Source organism: Homo sapiens, chromosome 8, assembly GCF_000001405.40.
Source record: "Homo sapiens chromosome 8, GRCh38.p14 Primary Assembly".
Lineage (NCBI taxonomy): Eukaryota > Metazoa > Chordata > Mammalia > Primates > Hominidae > Homo > Homo sapiens.
The window spans coordinates 130,152,732-130,169,576 of record NC_000008.11 but is presented as its reverse complement, the minus strand read 5'-3'; the positions used below and the strand labels follow the sequence as shown (position 1 = coordinate 130,169,576).

Genomic DNA, 16,845 nt, shown 5'->3' with positions numbered 1-16,845 from the left:
GTTTCAAATATATGTTGGAACACAGGGATCTTTGAGGAACTGAATGAATTTTGACTTTTCTCCTGCCTTTATCTGTAGTTCCATCATATTTCTCTTTATAGTGTCCAGATCAACCTCATGATATTCCACTGGTTAATGTGTCCTTCTCTCTCCTTCAAATTCAAATATGGTTTAACTGGGAAGAACTGTTCTATGTATAGATGCATATGTACGTTATGAAATCACTGTTTTGGGACTGCAACTGTAATTTCCAGTGTCCTTGTGATATCTTCTATCAAATGTCAACTGACAGCCATAATTTATTTGTTGGTACATCTTTATAAAATGCCGTAATTAGTTTTATAACTGTCTTGTATAGATAAATCCATAGAGAATGAGTATATATATACAGATAAGTGTATTTTCAGATTTTGTAGGTTATTATAGTTCCTTTTTTTATTTCCACATAAGGAAACAAATACTCTTTTTTTTTTATACTGGTGGTAAATCTCTGATTTTTTTAATTGTAGTTTCTTTCAAGATGGCTTGAAAACAGCTGATAAGTTGAAACAGTACATTGAAAAACTGGCTGCTGATTTATATAATGTAAGTTCTTTATAAAATACATGCAGTTTAACTTGCTTTCATGGATAAGTTTCAGTAAATTTGAAATCTGTATTAGAAAGGTGTTAAAAGCAGAAAAGATTAAATGATATGTCTGTACAAACCTAGGACAGATAACCCTTCAGTTTAAGTCAGAGAAGTCATCGATGGTCAAATGCTCCAGAGTCCTTCTGGGGCCATAAGAGGAGCAGGGAGGGGAGTATACAGCCATCAGTTCCAGATGGTTCTGCATTTACGATTCAGTTAGCATCACATTTGAGTGTTCCTTGGTCAGCAGTTGCAGAAAGAATGCATGATTGTGGAAGGATAAAAATTGACTCTGAATAGGCAGGTTTATAGAGTTTTTTGGGGTTTTTGTTTGTTTGTTTCTGTTTTTGTTTTTGTTTTTCAGAGTCTCACTCTGTCGCCCAGGCTGGAGTACAGTGGCACGATCTTGGCTCACTGCAATGTCCGCCTTCTGGGCTCAAGCAATTCTCGTGCCTCAGCCTTTTGGTACAGATGGGGTTTCACTGTGTTGCCCAGACTAGTCTTGAACTCCTGAGCTCAAGTGATCCACCCGCCTTGGCCTCCCAAAGTGCTGGGATTACAAGCGTGAGCCACCACGCCTTTGATTTATAAGGGTTTTTGTTTTGTTTTGTTTTGTTTTTTGCATGTTTTATATTATCTCTCTTTTTTTAGTGTCTAGGTCTAAATGTATATATTAGAAATGGTAAAGTTGTTGCCCAAAAATCATTTGGGGGTAAATAAAAGCGTATATATTATGAGTATGAGTAAATATCCTCAAATAAAGTTTTATAATTACAAAGAATGCCTTTTATATAACTTTAAAAATGCATAGCTATGTATTTTTTCTGATTTTCTTTTAGTAGTTAACATGGTTCAGGTTACAGTTAAGTCCCAAGTGGTTAAAAAAAGCAGCACTGATCCCTTGTCCCCATTTCATGCTATGTAAACTTTGATGTATGCATTGGCCCATTAGACTCCTGGTCATTCTTAGGATTCTCTCCTGGACCATTTAATCACATTATGGTATTTTCATTACCACCCTTTGAAAAACCAGAAGCAAATAATCTCAATGATATAAGCTGTTTAGAATAGTACTTCAGAGTTAACTATCTAGCTTAGATAGGTTATTTAATAAGAATGCATGTTGCATTATTCACTAATTTCAAAACCCACTGCTGCTTTTATAAGATGAGAAATATCATATCAAAAATGAGACAGTATAAAGGACTTTTAGTAAGAAAACCAAATATATAATAGAATTTTGATGAGTGGTATTTTTGGATAAATTAAACTCTGCCTGTGAAAGTGTAAATGGTAAGTAATAGAAGTAATTTTTTTTTCATAGATAAAACAGACCCAGGATGAAGAAAAGAAACAGCTAACTGCACTCCGAGACTTAATAAAATCCTCTCTTCAACTGGATCAGAAAGAAGTAAGTGGTTTACATGTTTACAACAGGGCTAACAGTGTAGGTAAGGCTGCTTGTAATACCCTTTGTGTTTCCTGATCTGCAAGACAGGCACAGTGATATATAATATGCAAGTATGTACCTACCATAAGCCCCATGTAGAAACTGTATTTTAGTTCCTTTTCCTTGCTTATAGGAAAGATGTTCTGGGTATCCAATTCCATGACTCTGGATTTTTTTTTTTTCTTTTTTCTTTACTTTTTTGAGACAGGGTCTCACTCTGTCACCCAGGCTAGAGTGAGGCGGCAGGCACACTTATGGCTCATCGCAGCCTTGACCTCAACCATTCCACCTCAGCCTCCCAGGTAGCTGGGACTACAGGCACATGCCACCATGCCTGGATAATTTTTGTATTTTTTGTAGAGATGGAGTTTGACCATGTTGCCCTGGCTGGTCTTGAACTGCTGGACTCAAGCAATTCTCCCACCTCGGCCTCCCAAAATTCTGGGATTACAGACATGAGCCACTGTGCCCAGCCCCATGACTATAGATTTTCAATCCTAGTTTTGAGGACATGCACTTCAGGAGCATATGCTGAAACATAGTACATTCTACAACTTTCCTCTTTAGACCACTTCTGTCTTTCTGGGCAGCCAAAACAGGCATGTCTCATTTGCCAGGGAAATATTTTGATGCAGAATCCTACAGAAGCTTTGCCCCACAATTAGGAAATTTGAGGTGAGTTGGTCCTTGGATATTGAAAGAGCATAGAATGCATGGTAGAGGCTGGATGAATGCAGTACAGATCCTTAGTTATAAATGTCATTTGTTCAAACATTTCATTAACACCTGCTGTGTGCCAGGCACAGTTCTAGGTACTAAGCTTTAGTCCCTTTCATCTAGTAGCTCATTATCTAGTCAGCCATATGAACAATCCATCATGCCTAAAGTGGTATGGATACTATTAGAGATACATTGGAAGATGACTGCAGCCAGACAGAAACCTACAAGACCCAGAGATGGAAAACTCCCCAGCATATTCAAGGGGCTGCAGACATTTTGGGGCAGGATGGGTGGAGGAGTCAGAAATGCAGTTTCTGAGGTAAAAACTCAGACCTGACTACGGAGGACCTTGGGTGTTGTACTAAGGGACGTAGACTTCATGATAAGGATAAATTAAACAGTAAGCACCATTTGTTTTCTGGGAGAAATTAAAAACGTGCCTGTTTTTGTTATGAAATTATGGGTTAAATTTAAGAGCAGTGGCTCATGCCTGTAATCCAAACATTTTGGGAGGCCAAGGTGGGAGGATCACTTGGGCCCAGGAGTTTGAGACCAGCCTAGGCAACAAAGTAAGAGCCTGTGTCTACAAAAAATTTTGAAAAATTAGCCACGCATGGTGGCATGTGCCTGTAGTCCCAGCTACTAGGGAAGCTGAGGAGCCCAGGAAGTGGAGGCTGTAGTAAGCTGTATTTGTGTCACTGTACTCCAGCCTGGGCAATGGAGGAAGACCCTGCCTCAAACAAACAAACAAACAAAAAATGAAGAGCAATATTTAATAATAATAACATGAAATACAGCATTTTTATAGTCAGTTTTTAAATACTATCACACAACAATAGCAAGTTCACTTATTTTAATTTCTAAAATTTCTGAAAGGGGTTTATGAGTCTAAAACAAAACAACTCCCATAAAACATGGGAAGCCCTGCACTAGTGACACTAATCTTTTAAAGCAACCCTGAAGGTTTTCTTTATTGAGTGAATATAAGCCTCTATTTTTCTGGTTCTCCAAATCCAGGTATATGCACTGGGGATTGGTCAAGTGAGAGAAGTCTATAGCACTGTAACACTAGGCATCTGCTAACCTGTGGAGTAGGCAGAGTGGCCAGGAACATCTGTGTACACTAAGGCAGTTTCTGCATCCATGTCATTCAGTCTCAGGCAGTGACTGCACCTGTGGTTTGAGGCCTCTGACTGTGATTTACAAGAATTTCCAAGTATTAGACCCCCAGTAGACTTCAGACTGAAGCACAGATATGCCATGCATGCCCTTTGAAGGTGCTTATTACTGACACATAAATCCTAGGAGAAATGTGGTCTCTTTGAATGATTTCTCAGTGTAAGAGCATTAAAAAGACCCAGGTAGAAGGGAGTACGGGGTGGTAGATTTCAGTCTTGGGAGAATATTGTGAGGTTTTTTGGGGTTTTTTTGTTTATTGTTGTTTTACTTACTGTATGTACTTAACCACTCCCTACCTTTGTTTTGTCACACAGTATTACCTCTTTCCTACATATGGAAGCTTTCTTGAAAAATAAAGAGGAGGACTGTTACAACCCCTTTTTGTTTTGCATGGAGACTTAAGTGTTCCGCTCATGCTAGCTAAAGAACAAAGTTGCATATAAGCCAAAGGAATGTGTACATGATGAAATGCACATGATTTGATTTAACCCCACCCCAGATTAATAAATGATGAGTTTTCATTAGTACCTTGCATCACAGAGTTTTACAAGTAATACATTGATCTTTCACAACATGCCTGTTCCTTTCTCATGCTGTTTATCATCACTCATTGCAGAATATGTTTAGAAGATAGTGATTTTTCATGACTGAGATTAAATGTGAGAGGAGACCATCCACAGAGAGTTCTGACCATGGTACTATTTGAAAAGAATGTCAAGTAATCTTAAAGATTAACTGAGGAATCAAAAGCACCCAACAAATCATTTAGCCTACTCATCCCCACCGGGTTCTAACTTGGCTCCATTAAAGGAAGTTCCAAGAATTTTAGTTGTGAATAGGATCCCTGGAATTTCAGTAAACTCATTTTTTTTCTATTAAGTTTTTATTGTCTTAGCAAATAAATGTTCTATGAAATTATATTAAGCTTTTGTAATAGCTTAATCTACAAAAGAACTATTTGCTATATAACTGTTTTTAGAGTTGGAAGTAGGTTTTTGTTTTGGTTTTTTTGAGACGGAGTCTCTGTCGCCCAGACTGGAGTGCAGTGGTACAAATCTCGCTCACTGCAGCCTCTGCCTCCCAGGTTCAAGTGATTCTCGTGCCTCAGCCTCCCAAGTAGCTGGGACTACAGGCATGTACCACCACGCCTGGCTAATTTTTATGTTTTTAGTAGAGACCGGGGTTTCACCATGTTGGCCAGGCTGGTCTCGAACTCCTCAAGTGACCTCAAGTGATCTGCCCGCCTCAGCCTCCCAAAGTGCTGGGATTACAGGCATGAGCTACTGCGCCTGGCCTGAAAGTATTTTAAATGGTGATAAGTCATATTTAGGATATACAGAATTATTCCAAAAATTACACCTGTTTTGTTTGAATTCACTTATGGACTCTTTTAAAACCCCATCACATTATCGTTTGCAGGTTTGACAGATTCTTTGTTTCTGTTTTACTCATGTCACAGTATCTGTCCTGTAGCCTGGTCCCAGAAAACTATTCAAATATTTAGAAAAATGAAACAGAAGGAATCTTTTGCCCACTCCATTGATACCTTGCATTAGAAATTTTAGGCTTCTGTAGTAGAGGTTTAGTTTTAAATTGGATACCAGAAACATTTATAGCCCCATTAAATCAATGAATGTATAATTGCTTGCACTTTTAAAAGATTTGAGACTCTACCTCTTAATAATACATTTTATACATTAATAAGATTTTCAAATAAGAAAGTGATTTGTCTATACTAATAGAGAATAGGAAATTAAAAAGATTTTAAGTTCATTGTTTATGTTTTATGTTTTTGCCCAAATGAGTTTTTCTGTTTCCTGAATACATAATTTCCGTTAACACTATCAAAGGATTCAGAACCTATTTCATTCCTTCAGTGTGTCAGTTTTTAAATTGTTGTTAATGTTATTAAATGTCCAGTATCTACTTTCTCAGGAAAGAAAATCCTCTTTGCATTTGTCTAGAGTGCCCTGCTTAGCAAGCTGAATGGCCATCATTTCTCAAAGAGCACAAGTAATAATCGGTGTGACTTTATTAAGCCATGAAACTCATTCATAGTTAATTTAGGATTGTTGATACTAAACTTCTGAAACATACTGCTTCCTTTCTGCTCAGTTTAATGAGGTCAAACCCTGGAGTTTAGCCACTTTATTCATCTTTAAAAGCATATTAGTTTGATGTAAAGCAAGCACATTCACTCCGAGGAGTTTGTTATTCAGAATTTAAGGTTTACTTAAGCTAGTAATAAATATATAAGGAACGTCTTAATGATACATTTACAGAATATAATCGTTTTTATAAGTTGTTAGTGTCTGAATCCTTGTTTAAAAGAAGTATTTTTATTTTTTAAACTTAGTGTTTTATTTTAAAGGTTAGCAAAGGTTAAGATTAGAGATACACAGTTGCTTGTTTTTGATTGAGTGCCTAGTAGTGAGACATCCATTTTTGTTTTTGTTTTTGTTTTCCTGCCACATGTGGGAGCCATTCTCTGATAGAGGAAAGGCGTGAAAGGCTTGAGAGATATCTCATTGTCACAGGCCTTTGCCAACTCCAGTATAATACATGTGGCAGTGTTAGGCCCATTTGAAAACTTAACAAATGTGCCAAAAAGAAAACTACCACGAGAGATACATAGTTTTAAAGCATTTGGACAGACCTAGGAATTATGTGGGCAGATGAAGAGAAGTCTAGTTCCGTAACAAGGGTTCCAAGGAAGAGGGTTATGAGTGAGCACCAGTGTACAGGGAAATTTTAGATTTTGTTTGTTTTTTTTTTTTTTTGAGACGGAGTCTCCCTCTGTCGCCCAGGCTGGAGTGCAGTGGCGCAATCTCGGTTCACTGCAAGCCCCGCCTCCTGGGTTCACGCCATTCTTCTGCCTCAGCCTCCTGAGTAGCTGGGAGTACAGGCGCCCGCCACCACGCCCGGCTAATTTTTTGTATTTTTAGTAGAGACGGGGTTTCACCGTGTTAGCCAGGATGGTCTCGATCTCCTGACCTCATGATCCACCCGCCTCAGCCTCCCAAAGTGCTGGGATTACAGGCGTGAGCCACTGCGCCTGGCCATGTTTTTAATGTTTCTGGAAGATACAGATAGGGCAGAGATCCCTGACTCCAAATTCATAATTGAGTAATTTTCCTGTGATTTTGTTGGATTAAAGCAGAAAGCCCTGTGGATTTCTTTAATCCCTGCCTCTTGCTTTGTCTCATGCCTCAGTTCCCTGCAACCCAATCCATTTTTCTTCATTAGGATTATGAACACACTGCTGCCTCTCTTAAAAAAACAACAACAAAACAAAAACCTGTTACTACTGTTGTTACTAGGGACTGTTGCTGGAGGTATTGGTAGGGGAAGGCTGCTCTTCTTGCTTGTCTGCTATTTAGTACAGTCCCTCAGTCCTACCTCCATTTAGAAAGTGTGAAAATATCTATTAGGGAGGACTTAGTGAACCACATTACTATAGAATTCAAGGCTATAGGCCCTGATTAAAAGTGAACATTTAGGTCGAGCATGGTGCTCACACCTGTAATCCCAGCACCTCGGAAGGCCAAAGTAGGAGAATTGCTTGTGTCCAGGAGTTCAAGACCAGCCTGGGCAACACAGTGAAACCCCATCCCTACAAAAAAGCAAAAATTAGCCTGACATGGTAGCACACACCTGTAGTCCCAGCTACTCAGAAGGCTGAGGCGAGAGACTCATTTCAGCTTGGGAGGTTCAGGCCGCAGTGAGCTGTGATCACACTATTGCATTCAGCCTGGGCAACAAAGCAAGACCCTGTCTCAAAAATAAATATATACATATGTATTTTTTAAAAGGAAATATTTAGGGAGAATTTTGCAAGAAAATCCTAGATTCAAGTCCATGCCTCATCTCTCCCAAATGATTAATATTGTCCAATTAAATGTTTCATATGGAGGGAATCTGGCCAGTTATAAACAGAGAAATTATTCAAATAGAAAATAACTCAAGTTTGTAACCTCTTTAATGTGAGTCAGCTTGCCTGGTTAAGTGTACAGTAAGCTCCCAGTTACCTACACAAGAGAGCAGGACAGTGATATGGTGAGAGTGTGAGCGTCCATGTCAAAGCCAGGGCTTATGTTGTATACTCAGGGTCCTTAATACCTGGCTTTTAGGAGGTATTCAGGACATGCTTTTGAACACGGAATCTATGATTTTCCTTTGATTGTTACTTATATTAATTTTGCATCACTGAACATACATTACTTGGCCCAAAAGGATCCTGAGTGTCAGAAAGAAGCCATCCTGGCGTTAAAGGTATTTCGTACACAAGTCAGTAAATAGCCAGTGGTTGGTTCAGCTTACCTCGACACTATCACATTTCAGGTGTTGTTTATGAACTGGATATATTTAAGTTCTTTTCCCTTGGGGAAAAATAAAAAAAAAAAGTCCTGCTACAATTTGTGGCTATTCCTAGATTTTCTGAATAATTCATTTTGGGTTTCACTGAGGTATTGATTCCCTATACATACACATTTGAGGTTTGTCAACCATTTTATCTTCCTAAAATGTGTGTGTGCCTCACATTCTTCTATTTAGCCATGTTTCTGTTCTCACGCCATATGACCTGAAATAAAACCTGATAAATACAGACATTTGATTGTCCTGTCACCCAAAGTTTATCCTGAATCTAGAGGTGTATGTGTTTTCTGGTATTATCTTTACAGTGATATTTTCTGTGTACATTATATAAAATGCTTAAATTATGGATAACATTTTCAATGAAATTAACTATATTTTCAAATGTTCTGCCTTTTTTCTCTGTTTCTTTTGCCCTTCCTGATCGAAGTCTAGGAGAGTAAGTCAATACTTTTTATGAGAATATATTGTCCTACTTGTATGTCTAAAGACCATGTTCTCGTTCTGCAGTTCAACGTTGTTGATTTTATTTCTTACATTTTCGTAATGTAATGGCTGTTTCTAGTCATGTAGTCCTTAGAAACTATGGTTAAATGTCAGTGGAATGCTAATAATAAATCAACCTTTTTTACATCTATGTTGTTGGTTTGGCCCTTGTCACCCTCCACGACATCATAACACTTTTCACTGCTGTAGAATTGTCTTAATTTAAAAAATGTGGTTATAGGTATATTTTACAGAGCACTAATTACAAAATGAGAGACATAATAATTGTTAAAACCTTGCTTAGAAGGTTCCCCTTTTATTTGGGGGCATATTGGCAGAATGTGTAAAGGGAGAAAGGTACAGCCTAAGGGAAGAACATGTTTGGGTTGCATGGACTTTATTTTCTGGTCCACTTCATTTTTTCCAGTCCCTCCTGTGTTTGCCTCTGCCGCTAGTGTAAACTGGATTCAGTCTTACAGTAGTCTGTCTACCAGTGCATTGTGCTTGTTTGAATTCAGTTCAGAGTAGAGGTGGGTTTTGAACTAGAAATCAGAGACCCAGACCCCAGCTCTGCCTCGGACTTGCTTTGTGACTCTGGCAAGTGTTTAGCTGCCCTGTTTCCTCCTCTAAAATAAAGGAAAGGACCTGACAGCTCTTAAAGTTCCATAATTCCCTTAGACCCAGACCAGTGCCAAAGGCTCAATGGCAGAATAGAATCAAAGATGGGAGAATTGTCTCTAGTTTTTGTTTAATCTGTAGTTTTTCTTTCCTAGGATTCTCAGAGCCGGCAAGGAGGATACAGCATGCATCAGCTCCAGGGCAATAAGGAATATGGCAGTGAAAAGAAGGGGTACCTGCTAAAGAAAAGTGACGGGTATGTATGAGCCCAGCCCAGTGTCTCAGTGTGTGATTAACCTAGAAAATGTTTCCAGTCTCTCATATAGGGAAACACACTTAAAATTTTATAATACACTAGCTGCAGACCTTTAGCACACTGGTTTTCTTCAAGTAAATCCGAGATTTGACCAGCTCTCTTTAGAAGAAACAGTAATTGCTCTGTGGTCCCTAAATGGCACTTCTGTCTTGTAACGTGCAATTATAGGAAGGCAGCTACTGAGTAGCACATGCAGCAGGCAAGTGCTGACCTCATACTCACCCACCTCTCCGCTTTTTTTTTTTTTTTTTTTTCCTGAGTTCACGCCATTCTCCTGCCTCAGCCTCCCGAGTAGCTGGGACTGCAGGCGCCTGCCACCACGCCTGGCTAATTTTTTGTATTTTTACTAGAGACGAGATTTCACCATGTTAGCCAGGTTGGTCTCGATCTTCTGACCTTGTGATCTGCCCACCTCAGCCTCCCAAAGTGCTGGGATTTTAGGTGTGAGCCACCGTGCCCGGCCCCTCTACCCTTTTATTCACTGCAGTTTTCTCTGCCTGTTGCTCACCAGGCCACCCAACCTTGGGTGTCACCCTTGACTCCTCTTTTGCCTCTTGTATTATAGCCAATCTGGCAAAAGCTCTTCCATTTCTAACTCTGAAAGTAATATACTCTTGCCATCCCCTCAGCCCCTGCTCTAGGGTGAGCTGCTGCTGTCTCTCCTGGAGTATTCAGCGGCCTCCTAACTGGTCTCTTTGTATCGCTCATTCTTCTTTTTCTGCAGTTCACCTTCACACAGCAATTAGAGTGGTCTTTTAAAAATCATAAAGCACAGCCGGGCGCGGTGGCTCACGCCTGTAATCCCAGCACTTTGGGAGGCCGAGGTGGGCAGATCACGAGGTCAGGAGATCGAGACCATCCTGGCTAACACAGTGAAACCCCGTCTCTACTAAAAATACAAAAAATTAGCCAGGCATGGTGGCAGGCACCTGTGGTCCCAGCTACTTGGGAGGCTGAGGCAGGAGAATGGTGCGAACCCTGGAGGCAGAGCTTGCAGTGAGCTGAGATCGCACCACTGCACTCCAGCCTGGGCAACAGTGCGAGACAAAAAAAAAAAAATCATAAAGCATATGATGTCATTCGCCTGCTTAAAATACTCCAGCGGCTTCCCTTTGCATATAGCATCTCAACCCTGCCTTCCTGTCCCACCTCATCTTGTTCCATTTTCTCCCCTGATCCTGCCACATGAGGCTTCTTTTCTGTTGCTTAAACAAATGATTCTGCTTCACAGTAAGTGCATAAGTAGAATCTTCATTATTCCCTTTAATAATTGTCTTTTTGGAGGGAGGGGACAGGACCTTGCTCTGTCTTCCAGGCTGGAGTACAGTGGCACCATCACAGCTCACTACAACCTCCCAATTCCTGGGCACAAGCGATTCTACCACCTCAGCCTCCTGAGTAGCTGGGACTATAGGCACATGCCACCATGCCTGGATACTTTTTTTTTTTTTTTTTAAATATAAGCAGGGTCCCTCTTTGTTGCCCAGGCTGGTCTTGAACTCCTGGCCTCAAGAAATTCTCCCACCTTGGTCCCCCAAAGTATTGGGATTACGGGCATGACTCACTGTGCCTGGCCTATTGTCATTGTTTTTTTTTAAAAGAAAGCTCCTTGTTTTCTGATTACTTGTGGATACGTACTCCTTGGCTTAATCTGAGACATGTACATTTTTTACTGTAATTTGTTTGTTAAAATTATAAATATTTCTCTTCTAAATTTCTGGGGTCATTGACTGTTTTGCTTATTATTCTACTCATGCATTCAACAAAGATATTTTGAGTCCTGCTGTATGTCTAGGACTCACTCTTCTAGGTCCTGAGAATACAGCATTGAACAAAAGAAAATCTGGCCCTGATAGAGCTGACATTCTAAGGAAGGAAAGAGACAAAAAATACTCAATATATGGTAGATCAGATGGTAATTAGTGCTACGGAGAAAGATCAAGCAAGAGATGCAGGTGGTGTGGGGGATGGGAGTGGTTCTTGCTATTATACAGGTGATTAGGGAAGACTTTATCAAGTTGATGTTTGAGCAAAGGAAGTGAGAGAAATCTATGCAGATACCTGGGAGAAGAGGAAGTAGTCAGGAGCATGCATCTCATGGTGACAAATACTTGAGAGTTCAATGTAGCTAGAGTAGTGAGCAAGCCAGGAGGTCATAGGAGATAAGGTCAGAGGGACAGGGAACCACTCCGTGAGGTGGGGAATCATTAGAGGGTTTTGAGCACAAGAGTGACATAATCCAACATGTTTTGGAAGCTTCTCTCTGACTACCAAGCAAAGCAGAGTCATGGAGGGTGAAAGCACAGAGACAAGGAGACCAGTTAGAGGGAGGGCTGCATCAGAAACCTAGATGGGAGCTGATGATGAGGCCAGGGGAACTGCAGAAGAGAGGGTAAAAAGTGGTCAGTTGTGGATAATGGAGGCAGGGGCAGCAGGACTTGCTGATATGGGGTGTAGAGAAAGAAAATCACCCCTCGTCCAGCATCTGGCTCATTGTAGAATCAGTTAGCTTAATCCTGCTGTGAAAGTAAAAGGAGAAAAGAAATCCCAACTAACAATTCACAGATTTAAACTGGGCTCTAGAATGGTGACCAAATGCTAGTCCAAACTGCATGAGATAAAGTGTACATAAATTGTAAATTCCATAGCTTATCTTGCTGAAAAGCCTCAGGCTCAGCTCCTTGTTCTTCCCTGACCATCTGTGGTACAAACATCTCTTGGAAATGTGACCTGTTCTGTCATCAAACGAAAAGTTAATATTGTGTTCCATTATGAGCAACAATGTACTATTACATATCTATTGAAGCAAAAGTATAAAAGTCATTTTTTAACACTACTCTCCCGAAATCACAATGATCTTCTTGAAATTAGAATTGCCTAATTCTAAGTGAAACGGTTAAAATCTGTATATCCAAGGAAGATCAACAGTCTTTTCTTAAGTGTTGCATAGTTCAAACCCTAAAGTGTTCAAGTAAATTATCTTGAGAGCACCTGTGTATGCCTGCCACACACCCAGGTGCCTGCTCACTCATCTCATTTGACATCTTTTACAGAGGGATTAAATAATTTGACTAAGATCATACGGACAGTAAGTATGAACACTCAAATTTGAACCTGGGTCTTCTGACTTAATGCCAGGGTATCTCCCCTTTGTTTTTCAAAAGGGCCACTGCTGCTGTTATCACTCTAAGGATATGCAAGGCATAAACTGGCACAAATTCACCCCCTTGACTTCTTCGTTCTTTTGTTCTTTTCCTTCATGTACTCATTCCACACACATAGATGAAATACTCTAGTGTATGAGGCAGCCTGCTAGATGCTGGAGGTAAAACATAAATGAGATACGGTCCTCACCCTCACTTTGACTGCAGTCTGTTGGAAAGAGATACAGACAGAGCTGTTGGATCATAGAGTTGGAAAGGAGGTTGGAAGTCAGGTGGTTCCACCTCCTAATAATGGCACAGATAGCAAAGATGAGCACTAATAACCTGGAGTTGCTTGTGACTTCTGTGGAAGAGTAAAAAATTGAAATGCTTATACATGAAAACAGACTCATTTGCAAACAATGACCACTGATATGTCCTGTGATTTTTCTCTGAAGTATTATTTGCGTTGGTAATTTTTGACCCTAGCTTTGGAATGCTCTTTATTACTTAAAGGATTATAAAAATAATTTTTTAAAACTTTATGGACCAGAGGCAATTATTGAGAGACAAAGGAGCAATTGCTTTATTATATTTTCTCATTATATGTACGAAAGTGGGCATTACTGTCTTTGTAATACAGAAAAGGAGAATGAGTCTCCAAGAGGTCAAATAACATGAGCAAAGTCACATAGCTAGAGATCGCGCTGGGATCAAAGCTCAAGTGATCTGGCATCAAAGTTGGAATTATCTATTTATACGAGACCATTTTCTAATAGAATTTTCTTTTCTGGAATTGTAAGATTCTAGCATGGCATAATCAGTAATCGTGTGTGGCACTCTCTGTGAGCACCAGATGCCAAGAGTCTTTGGTATGTCCATTCAGGAGCTATGCAGACTGGAACATTTGTAAAGCTTTCAGTACAGAGAGTGGGGGAGATCACAGCAATTCAGTCTAGTCCATAGAAGTCTTGGGAATAGAAGCTATCAAAATGTTCACAAAGATCAGGTGCTGGCTGGGCGCAGTGGCTCATGCCTGTAATCCCAACACTTTAGGAGGCCGAGGCCGGCAGATCACGTGAGCCCACCAGCCTGGGCGACATGGCAAAACCCTATCTCTACAAAAATTAGCCAGGCGTAGTGGCACATGCTTGTAGGCCCAGCTACTCAGGAGGCCGAGGTGGGAGTATCGCTTGAGCCTGGGAGGTCAAGACTGCAGTGAGCCATGATCGCACCACTGCACTCTAGCCTGGGTTACAAAGTGACACCCTGTCTCTCTCGCACACAAAAGATCAGGCAATACTGCTCTCAACTGTGCCAGGAGATATCTCAAGATTGTTCCCTTTCCTCTGGCGATCTGAAAGTGCCTCAGTCACAATCTCTGTCAACCCAGAATAATGCTTCTGTGTTACTTTCCTTGGCTTTATTAGCAGCAGAAGAGAAGGGGTGTGTGCGCGCGTGTGTGTGTATTGTTTCCATAATATACATGTGTAAGTAAAACTAATGAGTAAAGACTTAATAAAATGGATAAACTGAGGCTTTAAACTATTCCTGAAGGTTGAATAGTTTGATTGGTGGATTGAGTGTTTGATATTTAGGATGACACTGGTTTTGGCTTAGTGTATACAGGGATGCCTCACCTATGTTAGCAGGCTCTTGTGAGAGTAAGATGGATGCAAAACTACTTGCAGAGAGTTAGTCACGTTAACCAAATGTGGCTCTGATTAGTTGAGAGATGCCACCTCTAATCAGACATTTCCCTGGCCAGTACTTCTAGAAGAAAGTATGTGATTTAGCTCTTATTTGAGGATGGTTTATCAATTAGTAGTTAAATTACCTCCTCAGCAAGGCTAGCATTCTGAATACAGTATGTTCAATTTGCATTTGGTTAGATGGTGTCAGATTCTTACTTCCTTCTGTGAAGCATGCTTTAGAACAAACTGTGCTTCTAGTAGTTAAATGCACAATATTATTTGTGTTTAGAGATGGTTTTAAATTTGTGTTGTGGCAGCTTTCTTAGAGGACTAATTTAAGAAGGAAAAGAAAAACATAAGATGATACTGTTTTAAATGCCTGGGAAAGCTACAGTGGTCTCCTGATGTCATTTGTTTCCACAGCAACAGAAGGCCTTCAAAACTTACTTCCAGCCTAGGGAATCACTGTTCCCTGCCCATTTCTTCTTATCTGATGGAAGTAGTTAGTCTCAACTAGTGCATTTGCATCTACCTGCACACACGCAGATCTACCACACATGCAGTCTCGTCTGTGCCTGGAGCTTCACACACACAAAACTCTTCCAAGTTTTAATTCGTTCTCTTTGGCTTTTTTTATCCTTCAATATCATCAAATCACATTTTTCAAAATGTCTATCACTTGTTACTAACTATTTGTGAATGATTTGGTCACCATTTACTTCCCTTTGTGAATCATGAACAGTTTTTTCTCGGGGCTCTGAGGCACCATTCTGTCTCTGGAAGACCCCTAAAGGGGTGGTGTATGAGTTACCAAAAATGATGATGCATTCTTGAGCCCTGGCTAAGCTTGTCCTGTACCTCCCGAGGCAGTTCACCCCTCGCTCCTTGCATGGCAGACTTCTTGAGTTACTTTCTTAACTTTAATTTTTATTTTTTGTAGATATGGGATTTCCCTATGTTGTCCAGGCTGGTCTTGAACTCCTGGGCTGAAGCAGTCCTCCCACCTCAGCCTCCCAGAGTGCTGGGATTACGGGCATGAGCCACCATGCCCAACCACTTTCTTAATTTTTAAAAATCAATTATTAATAACAAAAGTAATCAATTGAACATTCTTATGAAAGATTCACAGATATGATTGAAAACTACTTAATTAACACCACCCCCAACAGGTTTGGGTCCCCTTCCTAGAGAGGAGTTATTATTATATCATTGTAGTACCTGTCATTCATTTATTGAGTCTCCTGCTGTTAGATTATTATTGTTTCTATTTCCCATTTTTACTGTCCAAAGCAGTGCCACGGCCAGTCACAGTGGCTCACACCTGTAATTTCAGCATTCTGGGAGGGCGAGGCGGGCAGATTGCATGAGCCCAGGAGTTTGAGACCATTCTGGGCAACATGGCAAAACCTTGTCTACAAAAAATGTAAAAATTAGCCAGGCATGGTGGGGTGTGCCTGTGGTCCCAGCTACTCTGGAGGTTGAGGTGGGAGGATCATATGAGTCTGAGAAGTCAAGGCTGCAGTGAGCCATGATTATGCCACTGTACTCTAGCCTGGATGTCAGAGCAAGACCCTGTCTCAAAATATATATATATATATATATATATACATATATATATATATATATATATATATTTAAAAAGCAGTGCTGGCCAGGTGCTGTGGCTCACACCTGTAATCTCAGCACTTTGGGAGGCCAAGGCTGGTGGATCATGAGGTCAGGAGTTCGAGACCAGCCTGGCCAAGATGGTGAAGCCCCATTTCTACTAAAAATAAAAAAATTAGCCGGGCGCAGTGGCAGGAGCCTGTAATCCCAGCTGCTCGGGAGGCTGAGGCAGGAGAATCGCTTCAACCCGGGAGATGGAGGTTGCAGTGAGCCGAGATCATGCCACTGCACCACTCTATCTTGGGCAACAGAGCAAGACTCCATCTCAAAAAAAAAATTAAAAAGCAGTGCTGTAATGAGCATCCTTGTACATGGCTACTTGTGTGAATTACCTTCCACCTGGGATAATAAAAGGCAACCAGGATTTTTTTGGGGGGGTTGGATTTTTTGGTTTGGGGAAGTTATTTTGTAATTATTATTATGTATCATACTGTATCGTCGCATGTCCCAGAGTGAATCAGTTACTATATCTAGTTGTGTTTGACTTCCTCCTTAGGATCCGGAAAGTATGGCAGAGGAGGAAGTGTTCAGTCAAGAATGGGATTCTGACCATCTCACATGCCACAGTAA

At 40.5% G+C, this 16,845-nt stretch overlaps 1 protein-coding gene and 1 non-coding gene across 25 annotated transcripts in view; one reads left to right on the top strand and one right to left on the bottom strand.

Moving 5' to 3' along the window:
• The window catches only part of ASAP1 (ArfGAP with SH3 domain, ankyrin repeat and PH domain 1), a 391,571-nt gene that overhangs the window by 274,098 nt on the left and 100,628 nt on the right, over positions 1–16,845 (top strand). For 14 of the 24 annotated variants that reach the window (XM_047421810.1, XM_047421806.1, NM_001362926.2 and 11 more), the window contains 4 exons: positions 510–585; positions 1,955–2,041; positions 9,613–9,713; positions 16,772–16,841. In XM_047421810.1, the coding sequence (XP_047277766.1) occupies positions 510–585; positions 1,955–2,041; positions 9,613–9,713; positions 16,772–16,841 (334 nt within the window). Of the gene's footprint in view, positions 1–509; positions 586–1,954; positions 2,042–8,783; positions 8,793–9,612; positions 9,714–16,771; positions 16,842–16,845 lie in introns of all 24 variants that reach the window. The other 10 variants (XM_017013468.2, NM_001362925.2, XM_047421799.1 and 7 more) reach the window with 1 other exon arrangement.
• Positions 6,450–6,605, bottom strand: LOC124900269 (small nucleolar RNA SNORA12). Its single transcript, XR_007061207.1, has one exon. It is a non-coding gene; the product is annotated as a small nucleolar RNA SNORA12 (small nucleolar RNA).